Source organism: Homo sapiens, chromosome 16 (assembly GCF_000001405.40).
Source record: "Homo sapiens chromosome 16, GRCh38.p14 Primary Assembly".
NCBI classification, from domain to species: domain Eukaryota; kingdom Metazoa; phylum Chordata; class Mammalia; order Primates; family Hominidae; genus Homo; species Homo sapiens.
Genome location: NC_000016.10, coordinates 393,901 through 413,334, shown reverse-complemented (window position 1 = coordinate 413,334; position 19,434 = coordinate 393,901). Strand labels below are relative to the sequence as shown.

At 57.2% G+C, this 19,434-nt stretch overlaps 2 protein-coding genes across 8 annotated transcripts, besides 7 other annotated features; both read right to left on the bottom strand.

The window, feature by feature from the left end:
• Positions 1-852: 852 nt before the first annotated feature.
• Positions 853-11,450, bottom strand: DECR2 (2,4-dienoyl-CoA reductase 2). The gene is made up of 9 exons (NM_020664.4): positions 11,292-11,450; positions 8,311-8,379; positions 6,938-6,989; positions 5,775-5,910; positions 2,968-3,092; positions 2,551-2,644; positions 2,259-2,363; positions 1,757-1,974; positions 853-1,445 (listed from the first exon to the last, which is right to left on the bottom strand). Exons 1-8 carry the CDS (start codon positions 11,369-11,371, stop codon positions 1,757-1,759), a joined length of 879 nt encoding a protein of 292 aa, NP_065715.1. The 5' UTR covers positions 11,372-11,450; the 3' UTR covers positions 853-1,445.
• Positions 11,885-12,470: an enhancer, noted in NCBI's record as "H3K27ac-H3K4me1 hESC enhancer chr16:450865-451450 (GRCh37/hg19 assembly coordinates)". NCBI's record gives its function as "activates a minimal SCP1, AML or CMV promoter by ChIP-STARR-seq in primed H9 embryonic stem cells {active_cell/tissue: H9 hESC(primed)}" and the evidence as "EXISTENCE:reporter gene assay evidence [ECO:0000049][PMID:30033119]".
• Positions 11,885-12,627: a biological region, named in NCBI's record as "H3K27ac-H3K4me1 hESC enhancer GRCh37_chr16:450865-451450".
• Positions 12,318-12,627: an enhancer, noted in NCBI's record as "active region_10205". NCBI's record gives its function as "activates an Ori minimal core promoter by ATAC-STARR-seq in GM12878 lymphoblastoid cells {active_cell/tissue: GM12878}" and the evidence as "EXISTENCE:reporter gene assay evidence [ECO:0000049][PMID:35858748]".
• Positions 12,581-16,606, bottom strand: NME4 (NME/NM23 nucleoside diphosphate kinase 4). 7 transcript variants are annotated; one of them, NM_001286439.2, is made up of 6 exons: positions 16,022-16,136; positions 14,941-15,127; positions 14,212-14,345; positions 13,855-13,956; positions 13,596-13,708; positions 12,581-13,116 (listed from the first exon to the last, which is right to left on the bottom strand). In NM_001286439.2, exons 3-6 carry the CDS (start codon positions 14,224-14,226, stop codon positions 12,993-12,995), a joined length of 354 nt encoding a protein of 117 aa, NP_001273368.1. In that variant the 5' UTR covers positions 14,227-14,345; positions 14,941-15,127; positions 16,022-16,136; the 3' UTR covers positions 12,581-12,992. The 7 variants fall into 7 exon arrangements, with proteins under 7 accessions (NP_001273368.1, NP_001273367.1, NP_001273365.1 ...); NM_001286438.2 differs by having other exon boundaries at positions 14,950-15,127; NM_001286436.2 differs by lacking the exons at positions 14,941-15,127; positions 16,022-16,136 and adding an exon at positions 16,256-16,606.
• Positions 13,641-14,226: an enhancer, noted in NCBI's record as "H3K4me1 hESC enhancer chr16:449109-449694 (GRCh37/hg19 assembly coordinates)". NCBI's record gives its function as "activates a minimal SCP1, AML or CMV promoter by ChIP-STARR-seq in naive H9 embryonic stem cells {active_cell/tissue: H9 hESC(naive)}" and the evidence as "EXISTENCE:reporter gene assay evidence [ECO:0000049][PMID:30033119]".
• Positions 15,506-15,575: a silencer, noted in NCBI's record as "silent region_6918". NCBI's record gives its function as "represses an Ori minimal core promoter by ATAC-STARR-seq in GM12878 lymphoblastoid cells {active_cell/tissue: GM12878}" and the evidence as "EXISTENCE:reporter gene assay evidence [ECO:0000049][PMID:35858748]".
• Positions 15,716-16,205: a silencer, noted in NCBI's record as "silent region_6917". NCBI's record gives its function as "represses an Ori minimal core promoter by ATAC-STARR-seq in GM12878 lymphoblastoid cells {active_cell/tissue: GM12878}" and the evidence as "EXISTENCE:reporter gene assay evidence [ECO:0000049][PMID:35858748]".
• Positions 16,496-16,545: an enhancer, noted in NCBI's record as "active region_10204". NCBI's record gives its function as "activates an Ori minimal core promoter by ATAC-STARR-seq in GM12878 lymphoblastoid cells {active_cell/tissue: GM12878}" and the evidence as "EXISTENCE:reporter gene assay evidence [ECO:0000049][PMID:35858748]".

Genomic DNA, 19,434 nt, shown 5'->3' with positions numbered 1-19,434 from the left:
ATGGTGGCGGGCGCCTGTAATCCCAGCTACTCGAGAAGCTGAGGCAGGAGAATCGCTTGAACCTGGGAGGCGGAGGTTGCAGTGAGCTGAGATCGCACCACTGCACTCCCGCCTGGGCAACAAGAGCGAAACACTCTCAAAAAAAATAATAGGCCAGATGCGGTGGCTCACGCCTGTAATCCCAGCACTTTGGGAGGCCGAGGCAGGCGGATCACAAGGTCAGGAGATTGAGACCATCCTGGCTATTATGGTGAAACCCCGTCTCTACTAAAAATACAAAAAATTAGCCGGGCGTGGGGGCGGGCGCCTGTAGTCCCAGCTACTAGGGAGGCTGAGGCAGGAGAATAGCGTGAACCCGGGAGGTGGAGCTTGCAGTGAGCCAAGATCGCACCACTGCACTCCAGCCTGGGCAACAGAGCGAGACTCCATCTCAAAAAATAAAAAAATAAAAATTAAAATTAAAAATAAAAAATAAAGCCAGGTGCAGTGGCTCACGCCTGTAATCCCAGCACTTTGGGAGGCCAAAGCGGGCAGATCATGAGGTCAGGAGATCGAGACCATCCTGGCTAACAAGGTGAAAACCCATCTCTACTAAAAATACAAAAATTAGCCAGGCGTGGTGGTGGGCACCTGTAGTCCCAGCTACTCCGGAGGCTGCGGCAGGAGAACGGCGTGAACCCGGGAGGCGGAGCTTGCAGTGAGCCGAGACTGCGCCACTGCTCTCCAGCCTGGGCGACAGAGCGAGACGCCGTCTCAAAAAAAAAAAAAAAAGAAAGAAAACAAAACTACTACTAATAATAAGTAAACATCACAGAAAAGACAGAAAGGAAACACAACCCCTAAACGATAGGATCACCAGCAATTCTCTTTAATCCTCTTTCTTTTCCTTCTAAAAGCTTTTGCAAAGTCCAATTTATTTTTACAGTAAATAGATTATCTTTTAAGAAAACGCACTAGCAAGATTGTAGCAAAGTGTGTTTATGCAAACAGGTGGTGCAGAGACAGAGGGGCGGACCTTGTGGGCAGCTGGAGGACCATCCCAGCTCATGGGCCACGCACAGATGGGAGCACCTCAGTGTTTTCAGCCAAGAGAACACAAGTCTCGGGATCCATGTGGCTCCCTCAGGCCCTGGACCCAGGCAGGCAGGACACCCTTGACCATGGGGCAGGGGACATCCCAGCATCTTGTCTGTACCCCCACCACCTGCGTGGCACCTGGTCCTCAGACACCTGCGTGGCACCTGGCCCTCAGGCACCTGCGTGGCAGCTCCACGGGCCAGGCCCACTGTCCAGTTGCTCCTGCCCTGGAGTTGGGGCCGTGGGGAGGGAAAGCGCAGTAATAGCTGAGTGTTCAGAGGAGGGGCTGGGCTGCAGGCATTGCTGGTTCAGATTGGTGCTCTCCACCTGGCTGAGTGAGGCGGCAGGAAGCAGCGGCCGGAAGATTCCTGCAGGAGTTTCAGAACTTAGTAGCCGGCTGAGGACGGCTTCCCCCTAAAACACCTCGGCTGCCTCGGCCACCCAGCACCTGCCAGAAATGCCGGCAGAGGCCGAGGCCGCTACAGAAGAGCAAGTACACCAGCGCCCGCCTCCTGCTCAGCCCCACTGGGCAGCACCCATGTGTGGGCAGGCTGGCGCAGGGGCCGGGAGGATGGGGACAAAGGAGACGCCAGCCCCGTGGGTCCCGCAGAGACCTGCCCATGCAGTGACCAGCGTCCAAGGACACAGATGACCCCAAGAAGCGGGAGCAGTACCTCACCTAGAGCTTAGCAGAGAAGGATGCGAAATCCGGCAGCCCTTTGACACCGTTTGGGAACGTCAACCATGCCCCGCCATCGGCCACCAGCACGGCCCCCGTCACGTAGGAAGCCAGAGGGCTGGCCAGGTAGAGCACGCTGTGGGCGATCTCGGTCTTGTTCCCCAGCCTCTGCAGCGGGCTGGCAGTGACCTTGGTGCTCAGGCTGGCCTGAGGGCCACCTGGAGGGCAGCAGAAGGCTCAGGCCCCGTGAGCCCCAAGACCCAGCACCCTCCCCTCTCCCCCAGCTCATTCCCTGAGAGGCATCTGGGAACAGCAAGGACACAGTCAGTGTCACCAAGGCCTAGCATGGAGCAGGATCAGGCCAGGCACAGAACATAGTTGCCACCATGGAACCAGCACAGGGCTTTTCAACATACACCCTGCCAAGGTTCTGGAAGCTTCATGGGCACCCTGTGCCCCAGGAGAGGATCTGTGGGAGGCCTGGGCTCCCTGAGAGCCTTACCCAGTCGCCGGAGCCCCTCTGTGCCACTGATGGGGCCAGGGGCGAGGCTGTTGACGCGGATGTTTTGGGGACCCCACTCCACAGCCAAGTGCCGCGTCATCGCGTCTGCACAGAAGAAAGTTGGATATGAAAGGGCCGCTCTGCCCTCTGCGAGGGCGCAGGGCCAAGGCCAGGTCTCGCTGCCTGCAGCTGGGCTCAGCTTCAAGTGGAGACTGCTGGCCTCCTGGGATGGAAGCAGACGGCCCATTGGGGACCCACGTGGGCAAACCTGGGCGGGGGGGGGTGGTCATACCCACAGCGGCCTTGGCGGAGCCTGCATGCACCTGGAGCGCCTGCCCCCGGTTCCCCAGGGTGGCAGTGATGTTCACGATCACCCCTCCGTGGTCCTGCAACACACAAGGCCCGGGGCAGTGAGCGGGCGGGTGTCGGGGGAGGTCACAGGACAGTGAGCGGGTGGCTGTCAGGGGGAGGCCCGGGGCAGGGAGCGGGCGGCCGTCAGGGGGAGGCCCAGGGCAGGGAGCGGGCGGCCGTCATGGGGAGGCCCAGGGCAGGGAGCGGGCGGCCGTCAGGGGGAGGCCCCCGCTGGGAGTACACCCACCCGGAAGAACTTCTCACAGAGCGCACAAGGCACCCACCCGGAAGAACTTCTCACAGAGCGCACGAGGCACCCACCCGGAAGAACTTCTCACAGAGCGCACGAGGCACCCACCCGGAAGAACTTCTCATAGAGCACACGAGACACATTGAAGGTGCCGCTGGTATCGATGTCCATCACGGTCTTGAAGGCGTTGAAGGACAAGGCGCCAGCGGGGCACAGGAAGTTCCCGGCCGCACCTGCAGAATGGGAGACCGCAGGAGCTGCTGGAGCCTGGGGAGAGGGATGCCAAGTGGGTGGTGGCCAGGTGGGCAGAGCGGAGGGTGCAGGAGGGAGCCCAGGTGCCCTGTGGCACAGGGAGGAGACCCATGCCCTAGGATAAATTCCAAAATGACCAGAGCAAGACGGGCGTCCTGGCTGCACTGTGTCCCCGAGAAGAGAAGACATGCTGAAGCCCTGGCTCCGTACCTGCGACTGTGGCCTTGTTTGGAAATGGGGTGGGTTGCAGAGATAATCGAATTACACTGAAGTCACAACGAATTAGGGTGAGCCCTAAATCCAATGACCAGCATCCTTATAACAAGGGAAGAGGACACACAGACACACGCCACGGGAAGACAGTGGCAGACAGTGCAGCGACGGTCTCCGAGCCCGGGAGGGCCAAGGGCTATGGCAGTACCCGAAGCCACGCAGAAGGCAGGAAGAGGCTCTCCCCTGGGGCCTTCAGAGAGCATAGCTCTGCCGACGCCTTCCCCTTGGACGTTCTGGCCTCCAGAACTGGGAGATTATATTTCGGTTGTTTTACCCACACAGGTCGTAGTACTCTGTTAGCCCAGGAAACTAATACACAGGATGTTTTTAAAAGGGAATTTCTGCAGAGTGAAACCAGTGTTGGTTCATCAATTGTAACAAACGCAAGATGTTAACAGGGAAAACTGTAGGTGGGAGTATGGAATTCCATATACTATTAATTATTCTATAAACCTAAAACTGTGATTTAAAAAAAAAAATCGGCCAGGCGTGGTGGCTCACGCCTGTAATCCCAGCACTTTGGGAGGCTGAGGCGGGCGGATCACGAGGTCAGGAGATCGAGACCATCCTGGCTAACATGGTGAAACCCCATCTCTAGTAAAAATACAAAAAGTTAGCCAGGCGTGGTGGCAGGCACCTGTAGTCCCAGCTACTGGGGGACTGAGGCAGGAGAATGGCATGAACCCGGGAGGCGGAGCTTGCAGTGAGCCAAGATTGCGCCACTGCACTCCAGCCTGGGCGACACAGCAAGACTCTCTCAAAAAATAAAAATAAAAATCAATAAAAATAAAAAATAAAGAAATAAAAATAAAAGCTGGGGGCCAGGCGCGGCGGCTCACGCCTGTAATCCCAGCACTTTCGGAAGCCAAGGCGGGCGGATCACCTGAGATCAAGAGTTCGAGACCAGTCTAAACAATATGATGAAACCCCATCTCTATTAAAAATACAAAAATTAGCCAGGTGTGGTAGCGGGCGCCTGTAATCCCAGCTACTTGGGAGGCTGAGACGGGAGAATTGCTTGAACCCGGGAGGCGGAGGGTGCTGTAAGCTGAGATTGTACCATGGTACTCCAGCCTGGGCAACAAGAGCGAAACTCCCTCTAAAAAAAAAAAAAAAGCTAGGCCAGGCTAGCTTCTATTTTATTGATGACTCTTGCTTGTAATCCCAGCATTTTGGGAGGCCAAGGCAGGAAGATTGCTTGAGCCTAGGAGTTTGAGACTGGCCTGAGCAACACACACTAAGACCCTGTCTCTACAAAAAATAAAAAATATAAAAATTAGCCAGGCGTGATGGCACACGTCTGTAGTCCCAGCTCCTCAGGAGGCTGGGGCAGGAGGATGGCTTGAGCCCAGAAGGTGGAGGCTGCAGTAAGCCATGATCACACCAGCCTGGGTGACAGAGTGAGATGCTGTCTAAAAAAAAAAAAAAGGCTATTACTTTTTTTTTTAAAGACGGAATTTCAGGACACAAGGGCACCCGACTCTACCATTGAGCTGTGTTCATGGCGTCCACTTGGGCTGCAGCTGTGCTGACCTGCTGCCACCCAGAGAAGCGGAGTCAGGCCGGAGACAGAGGGCCAGAGACAGAAGGCGGGACACAAAGGCCTGGAGACAGAGGGCCAGAGACAGAGGGCCAGAGACAGAAGCCCGGAGACAGGGGGCCGGAGATGGGGCCGGAGACAGAGGCCCAGAGACAGGGGGCCGGAGACAGAGGCCCGGAGACAGAGGCCCGGAGACAGGGGGCCGGAGACAGGGGGCCGGAGACAGAGGCCCGGAGACAGAGGCCCGGAGACAGGGGGCCGGAGACAGAGGCCCGGAGACAGGGGCCCGGAGACAGAGGTCCGGAGACAGGGGGCTGGAGACAGGGGCCCGGAGACAGGGGCCCGGAGACAGAGGGCCGGAGACAGAGGCCCGGAGACAGGGGCCCGGAGACAGGGGGCCGGAGACAGAGGCCCGGAGACAGGGGCCCGGAGACAGGGGGCCGGAGACAGAGGCCTGGAGACAGGGGCCCGGAGACAGGGGGCCGGAGATGGGGCCGGAGACAGAGGCCCGGAGACAGGGGGCCGGAGATGGGGCCGGAGAGAGACGCCCGGAGACAGAGGCCCAGAGACAGGGGGCCGGAGATGCGGCCGAAGACAGAGGCCCGGAGACAGAGCCCGGAGACAGAGGCCCGGAGACAGGGGCCCGGAGACAGGGGGCCGGAGATGGGGCCGGAGACAGGGGGCCGGAGCCTGAGTCTTGGCCTCAGGTACCTGGATGGGGTGCAGCCCACCCCAGCACAGGCAGCTAGGTTCCCTGGCATGGTCCCCACCCCATGACCAGAGTTCTAGGGCCTCCAAATGGTACCACCAACCTGTGAGAAGCCACCAACCTCACTCAGCACCGACTCACAGTTAATGAGAATGTCGATTCTGCCAAACTCCTTCAGAGCCTGGTCCACGGCGGCCATGACAGCTGGGGGCGCTCGGACGTCCATAGAGAGAGGGAGGCAGCGCCGGCCGGTGGCCCCAGCCAGCTTCCTGGCGGCCTAGAAGCCAGGTAAAGAGGCAGACAGCAGCCCTGCAGCCTCGGCCTGGAGAAAAGGCCTTTGGAATCTGCAGAGGACGATGCTTCCGGGTTCCTCGGGGACCCTGGGTTTGCTGCTGGACCCCACTCTGGGGAAGCACAGCCTGCAAGTGCCCACGACCCCAGTGGATGTTTGTGGGAACCTGCCACGCTCTCCCCCCACCTGCCACCTGTCCTAGAATCCTCCCTCTGCGTCGCCCTCCAGGCCACTGTCACCCATGTCCTGCCCCTGCTGCAGACCAGAGGTGGCACAGGTGAGACTCTCCTCCCAGGTCGAGGGCTCCAGTAGGTGGGACGCACGGACCACCTAAATAACCCAGGTGAGCCCAGAGGTCTTTCTTGGGGCCACATTACCCCCAAACAGGAAGGTCCCTCCCAGAACCCAATAACTAGATTTTTTAAAAAGTCAAAGATGTCTCTGGGAGGCCACTTACACTGAAGCTCCATATTTAGGATAGGTGCAAGTTTTGGTGCCGGCTGGGCACAGTGGTTCACACCTGTAATCCTGGCACTTTGGGAGGCTGAGGTGCCGGCCGGGCACAGTGATTCACACCTGTAATCCTGGCACTTTGGGAGGCTGAGGTGCCGGCCGGGCACAGTGGTTCACACCTGTAATCCTGGCACTTTGGGAGGCTGAGGTGGGCGGATCACCTGAGGTCAGGAATTCGAGACCAGCCTGGTCAACGTGGTGAAAACCCATCTCTACCAAAAAAATGCAAAAATTAGCCAGGCGTGGTGGCGGGCACCTGTAGTCCCAGCTACTCCGGAGGCTGAGGCAGGAGAATCGCTTGATCCTGGGAGGTGGAGGCTGCAGTGAGCCGAGATCGCACCACCACACTTCAGCCTGGGTGACAGAGCGAGACTCCCGTCTCAGAAAAAAAAAGTTTTGGTGCCAACATCCCCATAGCCTCTGGACTCTCCTGGCCCAGGCCCAGCCCCAGCCCCCCCACAGCCACCCGAACAGGGGACCATGGGAGAGGCCCTCTCACCGTCAGCACTCGCGGCAGGCTCCTACTGGCAATCACCGTATGGCAGCCGTGCCTGCAAAACCAGAAGCAGGTGTGAGGGCAGTGTGGGCGAGGGGCACTCCCGGGGCATCTGCCCAGCTCCTGAGCAGGAGTCTCTCAGGCGGAAGTACCAGTCCAGGCTGAAGGCCCAGCTGGCAGAGGGCACAGGGGCGTGAACAGGACTGAGGTACTCTGGAGGGACCTCAGGTGGTGCCCACCCCGGGGTTTCTGGCATGGGACATCCCACCGCACAGGCCTGCGGGTCCTGCCCCAAACACCAGGTACAGAGACAGCTGTGAGCCACAGACGCCCAGCCCACACATCTGCCTGGGGCCTGCTGGGCCCACATTCTCCACCCCCTTCTCCCTGTGGGGCTGGCGTGGAGGACTGTTCTGAAGCGGGGTGCTCCCTGCTCCCCTTCCTGACCACGTGGATGCGAATCCACCACGTTGGCCTCTATGAACCCTGGTTCCAGGAATGCCGCTAGGATTTCCAGCTTATCTACTGTTCTTGCGAAAGAGCACAAAGAAGTCCTGCCTTTAGGTCAAAACCACCTTGATGTTATCCTAAACAAATTCCTACACACTCCCTCTGAAGCAGGACCCCTTTCCCTGTGGTATAGAAGCCCTGGGCCTGGGGGTAACAGCATGGAGACGCCCGTCTCACAGCCACCCAAGACTACGCTTCTGCCCACAAATTCCCTGGTAAAATCACCTGACACAGACAAACGGGATCTGTCTGCCTTGTTCTTTGGTTTCTCGGCTCTTCTGGTTCGGGGGTTGCTTGCCCACAATAACCATAAAGGTAGCTACCCCTGCTAGGCAGGTCCCACTGGAGCTGCAATGTCCCATCTGGTCCTCAGATGCCCTGAGCACAAAGCCACCAGTGGAAAGGCCATATCTCTTCCTGTGGGACTCACCTTTTTGGTCTGAAAAGCAGGGGCCTCAGGGGAACTGAGGAAGGGTCCCTTTCCCCCACCCCAGCCTAACTCTAGCCACTGTCAGGTGGGATAAGTTGCTGACCCTGGCCTGAAGCCACAGAATTGTGTCCCAGGAGAAAATGTGCTCTGCAGGGCGCCAGCACTGGGGCCCGACACAGCCCTGACTCTCGAGGTCCCAGCAGGCCCCAGACCAGAGCCACACAATCTCCACTGACCTGTAGGGGCCTTGAAGTCCTGACTCCCCCCAGGGCAATCCTCGACCGCTCCCCAGTCCCTCTGGCAGGCACCTGGATCCTGTCGGGTAGGTGAGCAGGGGACATCTACCTCCCACCAACATCTTTCCAGGGGTCGGGCATCCAGCAGGGCCCGGGCAGGGAGAAGCGAGGAGCAGGGAAGGGACACAGAGCAGTCTCACCGCATGAAAATCTCAGCAATCCGGAACCCAATCCCAGAGCCGCCTCCTGTGATGAAGGCCACTTTGTCCCTGAGAATAAAAAAGGAGGCTCTTTTAAAAGAGCCCTATTGGGCCGGGCCGGTGGCTCCCAGCACTTTGGAAGGCCAAGGTGGGTGGGCCACAAGGTCAGGAGATCGAGACCAGCTTGGACAATATGGTAAAACCTCGTCTCTACTAAAAATACAAAAATCAGCTGGGCGTGGTGGTGGGTGCCTGTAGTCCTAGCTACTTGGGAGGCTGAGGCAGGAGAATAGCTTGAACCCGGGAGGCAGATGTTGCAGTGAGCCGAGATCGCACCACTGCACTCCAGCCTGGGCAAAAGAGCAAGACTCCGTCTCAAAAAATATGTATAAATAAAATAAAATAAAAATAAATAAAAAATAAAAGAGCCCTGTTAAAATACACCTCCCATATTGCTATACGGCAATGATTTAAAATGAAAATTCGGCCAGGTGCCTTGGCTCACACCTCTAATCACAGCACTTTAGGAGGCCAAGGCGGGCGGATCACCTGAGGTCGGGAGTTCGAGACCAGCCTGACCAACATGGAGAAACCCCGTCTCTACTAAAAATATAAAAAATTAGCCGGGTGTGGTGGTGCATGCCTGTAATCCCAGCTACTTGGGAGGCTGAGGCAGGAGAATCACTTGAACCCAGGAGGCGGAGGTTGTGGTGAGCCAAAATTGCGCCATTGCACTCCAGCCTGGGCAACAAGAGCGAAACATGGTCTTAAAAAATAAATAAATAAATAAAATGAAAATTCATAAAATTATAGTATTTTATTTAATTTATTTATTTATTTTTTATTTTTTTTGAGATGGAGTCTCGCTCTGTCGCCCAGGCTGGAGTGCAGTGGCATGATCTAGGCTCACTGCAAACTCCTCCTCCCAGGTTCACACCATTCTCCTGCCTCAGCCTCCAGAGTAGCTGGGACTACAGGCACCTGCCACCACGCCCAGCTAATTTTTTGTATTTTTAGTAGAGATGAGGTTTCACCGTGTTAGCCAGGATGGTCTCGATCTCCTGACCTTGTGATCCACCCACCTCGGCCTCCCAAAGTGCTGGGATTACAGGCATGAGCCACCACACCGGGCCTATTTATTTATTTTGAGACAGGTTCTTGCTACGTCATCCAGGTTGGAGTGCAGTGGCACCATCACGGCTCACTGCCGCCTTGACCTCTTGGGCTAGAAGGATCCTCCTGCTTCAGCCTCCCCAGTAGCTGGGACTACAGGTGCATGCCAGAGTGCCCAGCTAATTTTTCATCTAGTTTTTCTAGAGAGGGGTATCGTTTTGTTGCTCAGGCTGGTCCTGAACTTGTGCTGACACAAACTTGCAAAGTGCAGTGGGGGAAAGGGTATTTCTGTGTCTTTTGACAGAAATGGACAGAAGTAGATACAAGAGAGAAAAATACCCTGGCTTAAACAAGATAGAGGTTATAATTTCCTCTCTCCTAAGCCCTGCATGGCACTAATATCAAATATGATACCTGAGATTCAGCAAGCTACGTCGGGATAATATGGCTTTTTTATTTATTAGAGATTTTCTTGTACGCATTAAATGTGTACTGATCGGTATGACTGGCACAAACTGTACCAGATGGATGGCAAACTTTTGCTGATCTCCAAGTTGCCTTTCCTATTCTTAATTATTAAAGATTAATTTTGGGCCAGGTGCAGCGTCTCACTCCTGTCATCCCAGCACTTTGGGAGGCCGAGGCAGGTGGATCATCTGAGGTCAGGAGTTCCAGACCAGCCTGACCAACATGGTGACACTCACCTCTACTAGAAATACAATTAGCCCAGCGTGGTATTGTGTGCCTATAGTCCCACTTGGGCGCACTGAGGCTGAAGCAGGAGAATTGGGAGGCTGAGGCAGGAGAATTGCTTCAACCCAGAATGAGACTCCGTTTCGAAAAAAAACTTTTTTTTTTTCCTGCAGAACACTCAGAGAGAATTGTCAATACCTGTCCTTGGAGAACATAATTTAAAACTTGTTTTCTTTTTTTGAGATGGAGTTTCACTCTTGTTGCCCAGTGCAATGGTGCGATCTCGGCTCACTGCAACCTCCACCTCCCGAGTTCAAGTGATTCTCCTGCCTCAGCCTCCCAAGTAGTTGGGATTACAGGTGTGCGCCACCACACCCGGCTAATTTTTTGTATTTTTAGCAGAGACGGGGTTTCACCATGTTGGCCAGGCTGGTCTCGAACTCCTGACCTCTGGTGATCTACCCGCTTCGGCCTCCCAAAGAGCTGGGATTACAGGCGTGAGCCACTGCTCCTGGCAAAAGATCAAAATTTTAATAGAAACTTGAAAATGTTGCCAATTGAAAAAAAGAAAAGGAAAAAAAAAAAAGGATCCGCCCATTAGCCGAGTGAGGGCAGGTGACCGGGGAGGATCGACCTTTGCCCGGGCTGCCTTCTCTTGTGAACACCAAGGCGTTTGCAGGAAAATGAAGAGCTGCTGGGCAAAACCTGGCATTCCTGGGCCTTCTGGGTCTTCCGGAAAAATGATTTCAACCTAAAATTTTCTGTTAAGAAAGAGGCCAGGTTGGGCCGGGCGCGGTGGCTCACGCCTGTAAATCCCAGCACTTTGGGAAGCCGAGGCGGGTGGATCACCTGAGGTCAGGAGTTCGAAAAGAGCCTGACCAACACGGTGACACCCCCTCTCTACTAAAAATAAAAATTAGCCGGGCTGAGGCAGGAGAATCGCTTGAACCCGGGAGGCAGAGTTTGCAGTGAGCGGAGATCGTGCCACTGCACTCCAGCCTGGGCGACACAGCGAGATTCCGTCTCAAAAAAAAAAAAAGAAAGAAAAAAGAAAGAAAGGAGCCAGGCAAGACAGGTTTCCTAACACGCGAGCCCTCGGGGACCACGTGGGGGCGCCGGCGCCCGCGGACCGGACCCCGCACCAAGGCTGCGCTCGCTTCCCAGGCCCCGCTCACCGCAGCAGGTCCGGGCAGAAGAGGTGGCGGTACGCGGGGAGACAGTCGTCCCCCTCCACGTCGGGCGGCGGCTGGGCCATGGCGCTCCCGTCGGGGACTGCGGGGACAACGGGCGGGAGCGGCCTCGGCCTCCAGGACCCGGCGCGCAGCTGCGAACTCGCCTGGAACCGGGAGCCCCGCCCCACTCCCCGGACGCCCCGCCCCTGCCCTGATTGCTTCCCGGAGGCCCCGCCCCTCCCCCGAATTCTCCCCGGAGGCCCCGCCCCCGCCCGCGGCCTGCTGGGACTGGAAGTCGGCGCGCGAGGCGCAGGCGCATTGCGGGGCCGGGGGCGCGGTTCCCGCGGCAGAAGCTCGGCGGTCTGCGGGTCTCCTCCCCGAGTCTTTTTCACAGGTATTCGGCGTCAGCGCCGCGTTCAGAGCCTCCAGGACTTGTGGGATACCCCTGGCTCCTGGGTCCAGGCCAGGCTCGCAGCCTCTGGGCTCCCCGTTCGCCTCCCCGTAAACACCATGGGGAGGGCCGGGGCCCAGGGAAGCGCGGCCAGCCCCGCGCCGCTTCCCAAAATGACCCGTTTTGAGGCCAATAAAGAAGGGTCCGGGGCCGGGCGCGGTGGCTCACGCCTGTAATCCCAACACTTTGGGAGGCCGAGGCGGGCGGATCACGAGGTCAGGAGTTCGAGACCATCCTGGACAACATGGCGAAACCCCCTCTTTACTAAAAATACAAAAATTAGCCGGGCATTGTGGCGGGTGCCTGTAGTTCCATCTACTCGGGAGGCTGAGGCAGGAGAATCGCTTGAACCCGGGAGGCGGAGGTTGCAGTGAGCCGAGATCGCGCCACTGCACTCTATCCTGGGCGACAGAGCGACACTCCGTTTCAAAAACAAAAACAAAAAAAAAAGGGTCCGTTACTTCTGTTCCGCGTGGGGGCCCGGGCGGGGCTATGCCGCGAACCCAGGACGGGGCGCCCCGCCCGCACCACTGTTGGAAGACGGGGGTCCGCGACGGCCACGGGGGAAAAACACGCAGGGCCGCTCCTGAGCTGAACACACCCGCGGGCCAGCGGCTTCAGGGGCGTGACAGAGCCGCCAGCGCTACAGTAATGGCTGCCAGGCCCTTTCTGCGCTGGTTGGCCTCAGCCCGCCGGCCCCTCTCTGCCCCTTCCCCGGGAAGGCAGCTTCTCCTTTGGCGGGATCACAGCACCGGCTCGCGCCTAGCTTGGGTTCTCCGGATTGCAGGCTGGTGGTCTCTGGACCCCTGCCTGGCTCATACATCCAACAACGTTATGGAACTGGGTGTGCAAAACTTCCTCTTTACTGTTCAACTCCTTACAACTTGCATAAAGGCGTCATTTCTACCTCAGAGCTGGGGGAAGTCATAATTAGTGTACCACCCATGTGCTGGGCACAGTGAATTTTAATGCCTCCCCTTTAGAGGAGAGGTTATGATAATGTGAAGACCCCCCCCCACCACAAAGGTTGTCCGGCACTTTGGTGCAAAAAGGATTGGTCCAATCTTGTGCTGGCTTGGGGTACAGAAAGGCACTGAAGTTGGTGGCTCAAACTCCTCTGGGCTGGGGTGGGGCAGAGGTGAACAGGGAAGTAAGTGGTTTGGGACAGGCAGGTTTGGATGTGGGCTTGGGTTCTTGCTGACGGAGGTAGTTGGTCCTGCGTGGGGGATGGGGTGGTAAGGGCAGCTTGAGCCTCAGGCTGGGTGGATGCTGCTGTGCTGGCCCCCGTCTGCCCAGCTCACCAGCTCACTGCTCTGGAACCACAGCTGGATCTCCCGCTGGGCCCCCTCCACGGAGTCGCTGGCGTGGATGACATTCCTGTGCCAGGACAGGAGCAATGTGAGGCTCAGGCTTCATGTGCACCCTGAGGAATCCCAGGGACCATCTGCTGCTCCCGTTGCCCTCTGTCTAGGGGAGCAAGCCTGTGACTGCAGACAGGGAAGGAGTAACAGTGGAGCTGGGAAACCGGGTTCCAGCCTGGCCTCGGCCTCTTACAGCCTCGTGGACCCGCCCAGGCCCCAGCTTTTGGGAGCCTCATTTCCCCCCAAGTTGCCCCGTGCCAACCCCTTGGGGTGTCAGGTAACAGGCAACGATGGCACGGTACACACAACACAAAGGGAACACCTCATTGCCCTGTGTGCCCTGGGAGAACACGGCTCTCACCAGTGTGAGCTGTCATGTCCGACCTGGCTTCATCCTAGCACAGCAAGACAGCCAGGTCTCGTGGATCTGCCACCACCCCAAGTGATGGCCCTCCTTGCCCCCAGCAGCAGCCTGGTGTATCAGGACCCCCGTACCTGCTGATGTGGACGCTGAAGTCACCCCTTATGGTTCCTGGGGCAGCCTCAGCCGAGTCGGTGTGTCCAATCATGGCCCTCGAGGCGCGGACGACATTGTACCCTTCCCAGACCTGCAGCGAGAGATAATGGTTGGGGAGAAGTGGGGAACACCAAGGGCCCCTGGGCTCAATCCAGGGCCCCTCCCTTTGCTGGGGGGAAAGACACACCCACACGCCCTTTACCCACAGGCCCTTCCACCACCCCTGCCCTGCCGTACCATGGCCACCACAGGCCCAGAGCTCATGTAGCGGATGAGGGCAGGGTAGAAGGGCTTCCTCCGCAGGTCCTGGTAGTGCTCGGCAAGGACGCTCTCTGGTGCCTGGGTGGCATTGAGGTAAGGAGGAGCCGCAGACAGTAAACGTGGGCACTAGCACAGCAGCTGTGATGCCCTGACCTCAGGCACCTTGCAGATAACACCAGCATGGGCAGCACCCCCACCGCAGAATAGATCCCTCCTGCCCCTTCAACTGCCAAAGCCAGGCCCTGCCCCGGCGCTGGCTGGGATGTGAAAGGCCGAGAAGGATCCCCCAACCCCATCCCCACAGGGACACCCACAAGCCCAGAGTCCCACTACCTGCAGCATCTTCATCCCCACCAGCGTGAAGCCCCGCCTCTCAAAGCGCTGGATCACGTCCCCAACGAGCCGCCGTTGCACGCCATCGGGCTTCACCGCCACCAGGGTCCGCTCCCGGGTCCAGGAGGGCCCTCCTTCAAAAGGCAAGAGGTCAGAGGCACTGCCACCTCACCCTTTCACGTCCCCACGACCCGGGTTTCCCAGCCAGAGCCCAGGGGTCACCAGGCTTCAGGGTGTCTGCCTCTATGCAGGGCACTCTGGAAGGGACAGGGATGGTGCCCACAGCCACAAACACCCCCATGATAGTCCCTGTCAGGGACACCCAAGGCAATGTGTCCCCAGGGCTTCTAGCCTCTCCCAGGGGCCATGGCTCCTCCCAGCAGAGGCAGAGGCTGCCTGAGATCGCCCCGAGGTTCAGGGAGGCACTGCCCAGCTCAGGGACCACCACCGCAAGGTCCATAGAGGCAGAGCCAGCTCAGGGACCACCTCAAGGTCCAGGGAGGGACAGCCCAGCTCAGCGACCACCCTGAGGTCCACAGAGGCACAGCCCAGCTCAGTGGCCTCAGGGAAGTCTGGAGATCCTGCAAAACTCCAGCCTCACTTTTGACTCCATCCCTTCTGGATGACGACAGACATGGTCTGAAGCCCCGACTTTCCACATGAGGAAGAACCCAGAGCCCACCCTGTGTCTGAGGTGAATGAGTGGCAGGGAACCAGGGAGAAACACACTTTCCCCACCAGGTGAGCCCTGGAAACACGGACAAAAAGGGGCCTGAAGATTGAAGAGGGAAGGTAGCAGGGTTCTGTCCGAGCCAGGAGACGGGGCCTGTGCTGCTGTGGAGTTTCAAGGCCTGTCGCTTCCAGACCCAGGGTCAGCGCTGAGCTCCGCCCCAGCCGTCCTCCTCTGGAGGGGACGCTGCCAGGGAAACAGAAGACGTCCTCACCTTCCTATAGTCCCAGGCTGCTCCAGAGCCAAGCTACCCTCCGGCATCGGGTCCCTGGTTTCCAGAGGAGCCCAGACCCTGTATGTCCCACAGAATCTGGACAGAGCCAAAGGGGCTCCGCCAGGCCAGGAGGAAAAGTTAACCCCAGCAGGCGGCTGAAGCCCACGGGAGGAAGACCCCCTGGTTGGTTTGTTCCCCCAAAACCCAGTTTGCAGGGCGCCTTGTGTAGCCTGGGGCTCTGCTGCGGCTGGTGCGGGCATTGCAGGCGGCGGCTCACTTTTCAGAGCCGATGGAGGGAGCCCTGGGACATGGATCGTCCTGTGAGGTGGCAGCTGGGGGGGCCGGGCAGCGGCGGGGCCGGGGACTTGGGGCCTGACGTCCCAGTCAGATTCTGGCCTAACTTGGCCTTCAGCGAACGCCCCAGCGGAGCGGCTCCCCCCACCCCCACCCCCCGACTCCCTCACCCCCCCACACCCCCACCCCCACCCCCCGACTCCCTCACCCCCCCACACCCCCACCCCCACCCCGGCCGGGAGACCCCCTCCCCGCCCAGTGCTGCAGCCGGCCTCTGCCTTCCTTGCGCTCCCGGGCCCTCGGTCGCCCCGGACCCGCCCAGGCTGCCAACTCGCCGGGCGCCTGCAGCCTGGGGCCTGGGGAGGCGAGAAGGAGCCGCAGAGCCGGACGGGCACTGGAGGGGCGTGCGGGTGCGAGCCGGCGCCTTCCCCAACTCGGACGGACCCCGCAGCCCGCGCCCCGAGGCCTCTGGGGGAGTCGGACCCCAGCCCGCACGTGCGCGCACAAAGGCCGAGCGGCGCGCGCCCCTTCCTCCCCTCCGCGTCCCCGCCGGGGCGCGCGGCCCCACTCACCCGAGCCGTGGCGCACTAGCAGGCTCGGGCCCGGGGCCCGCGGGCCGCAGCGCAGCCCCCGCAGCGCGGAGCGCCAGAAGAGGCCGCCCATGACGCCCGGCCCGCGGGCCGCTGTGAGCGCGAGGAGCGGGCGCGGAGGGCGGTGCCAGCCCGAGACCCGCCCCCGCCCGCCCGGGAGCCCCCCGCCGCCCCGGAGCCCCCCGCCGCCCCGGACCCCCGTGGCCCGGCGCTCACGGGGGAAATGTTCAACGCCAATTTCTGTTAAAAATCAGAAGAAAAAACAAAATAATAATGAATCCTTCTCGAATTGCATTCGTCTTTACACCGACGCAACCGTTAACTATCGTTTTAACGCTTTCCCACGGAGGAAGGCCCACTCGGGAGGCTGAGGCAGGAGGATCGCGTGAGCCCAGGAGATTGAGGCTGCAGTGAGCTGTGACTGCACCGCTGCACTCCAGCCTGAGCAATAGAGCAAGACTCTGTCTCAAAAATAAATTCACGGACCAAAAGGAGGTCTAGAAGCCCTGGTCTGAGCCCCCTCCAATGGAGGGTGAAATTCCCACGTGAGCCCCAGGGCGGGAGAAGGAGGCGCTCCGGAGACGCTGACTCTGCGGCCAGGACGAGTAGGCGGGACTACAGACCCGCGCCACCACAACCAGCTAATATTTTAATTTTTTGTAGAGATGGGGCCTCCCTATGTTGCCCATGCTGGTCTCAAACTCCTGGGATCAAGAAATCCTCCTGCCTTGGCTTCCCAAGGTGCTGGGATTACAGATGTGAGCCTGGTCTGTGAATTTGAATGGGGAAAAATCCGACCTTTATTCTCAAATGGCCTCTGATGTGACTGCATTCCTCTAATTCATTCAATTGCGGATATAAGGAAGAAGCCACATTCATAGTTGCAGGGCCTGTGACTTTGTCACCAACAGAATTCACAGGTACGGTAATATTTGGGTAGATAGCACAGCATGCTACTATTTGAAATGGTTAGGTCTCCCACTGCTAGAACTTACTTAATGAGTCTTGAAAAAGCCTGTTCTTTTTGCTGCTATTGTGAATGGAATTGTTTTCTTATTTGAATTGTCCATTGCAAGTGTATAACAGACAATTGAGGTTTGTTTGTTTTCAGACAGAGTGTCGCTCTTGTTGCCCAGGCTGGAGTGCAATAATGGCATATCTCTGCTCACTGCAGCCTCCGCCTCCCAGGTTCAAGCAGTTATCCTGCCTCAGGCTCCCGAGTAGATGGAATTACAGGAGCTTGCCACCACACCTGGCTGGTGTTTTTTTTTATTTTTAGTAGAGACGGGGTTTCGCCATGTTGGCCAGGCTGGTCTCAAACTCGTGGCCTCAGGTGATCCACCCGCCTTGGCCTCCCAAAGGGCTGGGATTACAGGCGTGAGCCACCACGCCTGGCCAACAATTGAGCTTTGTGTATTGATCTTGTATCCTGCAAGCCTTCCAAATGCATTTATTAGTTCTAATAGTTTTTAATTAATTCCTTGGGAATTTCTTTGTATAAGATTGTGTCATATGGAGCGGGGCACACTGGCTCATGTCTGTAATCCCAGCACTTTGGGAGCCCGAGGCGAGCGGATCACGAGGTCAGGAGTTCAAGACCAGCCTGGTCAACGTGGTGAAACCCCGTCTCTACTAAAAATACAAAAATTAGCTGGACATGGTGGTGCATGCCTGTAATCCCAGCTACTCAGGAGGCTGAGGCAGGAGAATGGCTTGAACCCAGGAGGTGGAGCTCACAATGAGCCGAGAGCATGCCACTGCACTCCAGCCTGGGCAACAGAGCAAGACTCTGTCTCAAAAAAAAAAAAAAAAAGAAAAGAAAAAACATCATGTCATATGGGAATAGAGACGGTTTCAGTTCTTTCTTTCCAATCTGAATGCCTTTTATTTTATTTTCTTGTCTAGTTGCTCTGACTAGAATTTGCAGTACTATGGTATAAAGAAGTGACTTTCTTTCTTTTTAGAGGCTGGACTCTTGCTCAGGCCTATTATCCCAACAATTTGGGAAGCTGAGGCAGGAGGATCACATAAGCCCAGGAGTTTGAGACTAGCCAGGGCAATATAGCAAGACCCTGTCTCTTGAAAAAAAATAGTAAATAAACAAAAAATATATGAGTGAAGTGTATAGTATGTCAATTGTATCCCAATAAAGCTATTGCAAAAAGGAAAAAGCAGATATTACTATAGCGTACTCTGTTTTTTTTTTGAGACGAAGTCTCACTCTGTCACCCAGGTTGGAGTGCAGTGGCGCGATCTCGGCTCACTGCAAGCTCCGCCTCCCGGGTTCACGCCATCCTCCTGCCTCAGCCTCCAGCTGGGACTATAGGCGCCTGCCACCACGCCTGGCTAATTTTTTTTTTTTTTTGTATTTTTAGTAGAGACGGGGTTTCACCATGTTAGCCAGGATGGTCTCGATCTCCTGACCTTGTGATCTGCCCGCCTCAGCCTCCCAAAGTGCTGGGATTACAGGCATGAGCCACCGCGCCCGGCCACTATATCGTACATTTTTTAATGTTTTATTTTTGTTTTTTTAGCAACAGGGTCTCGTTCTGTCACCTGGGCTGGAGTGCAGTGGTGCAGTCATAGCTCAACTGCAGCCTTCACCTCCCAGCCTCAAGCGATCCTCCTGCCTCAGCCTCCCCAGTAACTAGGAAAACAGGCCTGAGCCACCGCACTTGGCCTAAAATATTTTGTTTTTGTTTTTGTTTTTGTTTTTGAGATGGAGTCTCACTCTGTTGCCAGGCTGGAGTGCAGTGGTGTAATCCTGGCTCACTGCAACCTCCGCCTCCCAATTCAAGCGATTCTCCTGCCTCAGCCTCCTGAGTAGCTGAGATTACAGGCACGCGCCACCACACCCGGCTAATTTTTGTTTTTTAGTAGAGATGGGGTTTCACCATGTTGGCCAGGATGGTCTCGATCTCTTGACCTTGTGATCAACCCGCCTTGGCCTCCCAAAGTGATGGGATTACGGGTGTGAGCCACCACGCCCCGCTGCCTAAAATATTTTGTTTGTTTGTTGGTGAGACATCGTCTTACTCTGTTGCCCAGGCTGGAGTGCAAGGGCATGATCTCAGCTCACTGCAACCCCCACCTCCTGGGTTCAAGCAATTCTCCTGCCTCAGCCTCCCGAGTAGCTGGGATTACAGGTGCTCGCCACCACACCCAGCTAATTTTTTGTATTCTTAGTATAGACAGGGTTTCGCCATGTTGGCCAGTCTGGTCTCGAACTCCTGACCTCAGGCGATACACCCACCGCAGCTTCCTAAAGTGCTGGGATTACAGGTGTGAGCCACTGCGCCCGGCCTGGCCTACAATATTTTGATAATTTATTTCAGTATAGTTTTTTATATTTTTATTTCCTTGTATTTTATTTTGCACATTAAAAACATGCTGAG